The sequence below is a fragment of the Homo sapiens genome, chromosome 2 (genome assembly GCF_000001405.40).
Source record: "Homo sapiens chromosome 2, GRCh38.p14 Primary Assembly".
In the NCBI taxonomy this organism is placed as follows: domain Eukaryota; kingdom Metazoa; phylum Chordata; class Mammalia; order Primates; family Hominidae; genus Homo; species Homo sapiens.
The window spans coordinates 75,990,491-75,994,353 of record NC_000002.12 but is presented as its reverse complement, the minus strand read 5'-3'; the positions used below and the strand labels follow the sequence as shown (position 1 = coordinate 75,994,353).

The 3,863-nt window shown below is 35.2% G+C and overlaps 1 annotated feature.

Annotated features, from left to right (window-relative positions):
• Positions 270-771: an enhancer, noted in NCBI's record as "H3K27ac hESC enhancer chr2:76220709-76221210 (GRCh37/hg19 assembly coordinates)". NCBI's record gives its function as "activates a minimal SCP1, AML or CMV promoter by ChIP-STARR-seq in primed H9 embryonic stem cells {active_cell/tissue: H9 hESC(primed)}" and the evidence as "EXISTENCE:reporter gene assay evidence [ECO:0000049][PMID:30033119]".

Genomic DNA, 3,863 nt, shown 5'->3' with positions numbered 1-3,863 from the left:
GCCTTGGGCCTGAGGATCACTCCACCCACACCCACCACAGGTAGTGTCTGCTCTCACCATGAGGGTCCCTGAGCACAAGACCACCTAGGCCAGCTTTGCCCTTCCCACAAAAAGAGAACACATAGACCAGGGCCCTGGGGATTGCCCAATCCAGTCCACTATAATAAGCACCTGAGAACTCATGCTGGGGGCCTGAGGTTGGGCCTAAATTCCTGACTACTACCAACTCAGCTGGCACCTATTTGTTGGCACCACCTGCAGGCATGCAGAATGGCATTCCCAGACCATTGCAGCCACCCACATGAATAAATTACACTATTTAGGTCCTAGAGAATTGTCCTTCCACTACTACTATCATTGCCCAAGCCACACCAGCTGCCAAGGAGCCTGAGAACCCATTCAGTTGTATAGTCTACTGCTGCTATCACTGGCATTCAAGCAAGCCTCCTGGAGGCCCAGGAAGTTACCTGATGGTAACTGCCAACCCCAGAGCCAAGGCATACTGCCCAGGGATCCAAGGATGGACATGTTTAGCTCACCACTACCACCACAGAGACCTGATGACTGCTCCACCTGGTATCCCAGTGCCCAGCATGACTTCAAGACAGCTACCACTAATAACTGCACGCTAACCCACTAAGGAAATCACAAATACCACTAATGTCATTAACAGCCAAAGAATTCATATAGAGACAACACTATTGTGTGCACTCAAAATCAAAGCCAAAGTGCCCTACCCAACTAACAGCACAGATATATTTTCAGGAAAAAGTCCTTTCCTATGAAAGTAAGTTAAAAATAAGAAGTAAAAAGGAAGAAGTAACTGTTATACCAGATGTACAAATATCAACTCAAAGACACAGGAAACATAAAAAAGCAAGTAAATATGACACCTCCAAAGGAACATAATAGTACTAACGATAGATTTTAATTGAAAACAAATTCTTGAAATACCAGATAAAGAATTCAAAATATTTTTTTTATTTTACTTTAATTTCAGGGATCCATGTGTTGAATGTGCAGGTTTACTACATAGGTATAAATGTGCCATGGTGGTTTGCTGCACCTATCAACCCATCATCTGGGTTTTAAGCCCCAAATGCATTAGGTATTTGGCCTAATGCTCTCTAAAAATTGATTTTAAAGAAGTTAATTGAAATACAAGAGAATTCTGAAAAACAATACAAAGAAATCTGAAAACTTCAGATTCAGAATGTTTCATTCAGGACTTAAATAAAACATTTACCAGTGATTGATTTTTTTAAAGGACCACACAAAAATTCTAGAAAGGAAAAATTCATTAAAAGAAATACAAAATACATTTGAAACTCTCAACAATAGGCTAGATCAAGCAGAAGAATAAATCTCAAAACTTGAAGATGTGTCTGTTGAAATAATGCAATCAGGTAAAAGTAAAGGAAAAGAATAAAAGAGAATTAGCAAAGCCTTCATGATCTTTGGGACAATGTGTAGTGACTGAATATTTGAGTTATTGGTATCTCCAAGTGTAAAGAGAGAACAAAAGAATTAGAAAACCTCTTTAACAAAATAATAGATGAAAGTTCCCCAAATCTAGCAAGAGATTTAAACATCCAGATACAGGAGGTCAGTGATCTCCAAGCAGATATGATGCAAAAGGATCTTACTCACTGCACATAATAGTTGGACTGTCTAAAATCAAAGATAAGGATTGAATCATACAAATCACAAGACAAAAGTGTCTAGTCACCTATAAGAAAAATCCCATCAGACTAAGACAGAAGTTTTCTTAGCAGAAAACTTACAGGCTAGAAACTAAACAGGAGTTTTCTCAGCAGAAACCTTACAGACTAGAACAAAGTGGGTTTATATAGTCAAAGTGTTGAAAGACAATAAAAACTGCCCAGTAAGAATAGTATATCCAGTAAAATTATCCTTCATAAATGAAAGAGAAATAAAGTCTTTCTCAGACAAGAAAATGCTAAGTAAATTAGTTACTACTAGACTGGCCTTACAAGAAATGCTCAAAGGAGTCCTAAGCCTGGAAGTAAAAGAATAACACTTACCATCATGAAAACATGAAAGTATAAAACTTCCAGCTGGCATGACATGCAATTTACCTATATAATAAACCTGTAATTGTAACCCTGAACTTAAAAGTTTTTAAAAAGTCAATTAAATTAAAAGTAATGTTTAAAAAATAAAAAAAACTTATTAGTAAGGCAATCATGCAAATAAGGATGAGAAAGGGCTTAAATGGTACCACTAAAGAAATCCACCAAACCAATGACAATAAAAGAAAGAGAAAGAACAAAAAATATATCAAACAACCACTAATTAATTAATAATATGACAGGGATAAAGCCTCATTTATCAATAATAACTTTAATGTAATAAGATTACATTTTCCACTTAAAAGATATACAATAGCTAAATGGATGATAAAAAATAATGCAACTGTTTGCTGCTTACAAGAAACTAACCTTACTAGTGAAAGTGAAGGGATGGAAATGGATACTCCATGCAAGCAAAAACAAAATCAAGCAGGTATAGCTATAGTTGTATCAAATAAAACAGACTTTACTTTAAGTTAAAAACAGTTTAAAAAAAAGACTAAGAAGGTTATTATATAATGATAAATGGAACAATCCAACAAGATAATATAACAATTTTAAATATACATGTACCCAACACTGTAGCACCCATATTCATAAAGTCAATATTAATAGATATAGAGAGATAGACTTTAACATCCCACTTCAAGCATTAGACAAATTATCTAGCCAGGAAGTCAACAAAGAAGCATTGGATTTAAACAGTACATTTAACCAAATAGACCTAACAGTCATTTATAAAACATCCTATTCAACAATAGCAGAATATATATTCTTTTCAACATCACATGGAATATTCTCCATGATAGAACATATATTAGTACACAAAACTAGTCTCAACATATATTTTAACATTAAAATTATATCAAGTATCTTCTCAGACCACAATGGAACAACACTAATAATCAATACCAAGAAGGACTTTAAAAACTACATGAATACATAGAAATTAAACAACCTGCTCCTGAATTACAAGTGGACCAACAAAAGAATTAAGATGGAAATCAAAAAAATTATTGAAACAAGTGAAAATGGAAATACCACATACCAAAACTTATGGTATATAGCAAAGGCAGTGTTAAGATGGAAGTTTGTAACAATAAACAACTCAACAGGAAAATAAATAATGTCATTAAAAATGTAGGCAAATAACAGACATTTCTCAGAAGAAGATATACAAATGGCCAATAACTATATGAAAATATGCTGAACATCACTAATCATCAGAGAAATTAAAATTGAATCCAAAATAATAATCTTACCCCAGTCACAATGGCTATTACTAAAAAGACAAAATATAACAGATGTTGGTGAGAATGCAGAGAGAAAAGTAACTCTTATATACTTGATATGGTTTGGCTGTGTCACCACCCAAATCTCATCTTGAATTCTCACATATTGTGGGAGGGACCTGGTGGGAGGTAATTGAATCATGGGGGCAAGTCTTTCCCATGCTGTTCTCATGATAGTGAATAAGTCTCATGATATCTGAGGGTTTTAAAAAGAGTTCCCCTGCACAAGCTCTCTCTTTGCCTGTTGCCATTAATGTAAGACGTGACTTGCCTTCCACCATGATTGTGAGGTTTCCCCACCCATGTGAAACTGTAAGTCCAAATAAAACTATTTCTTTTGTAAATTTCCAAGTCTCGGGTATGTCTTCATCAGCAGCATGGAAACAAACCAACACAGTAAATTGGTACCAGTAAAGTGGGGCACTGCTGAAAAGACACCTGAAAATGTGGAAACAACTTTGGAACTGGGTAACAGGCA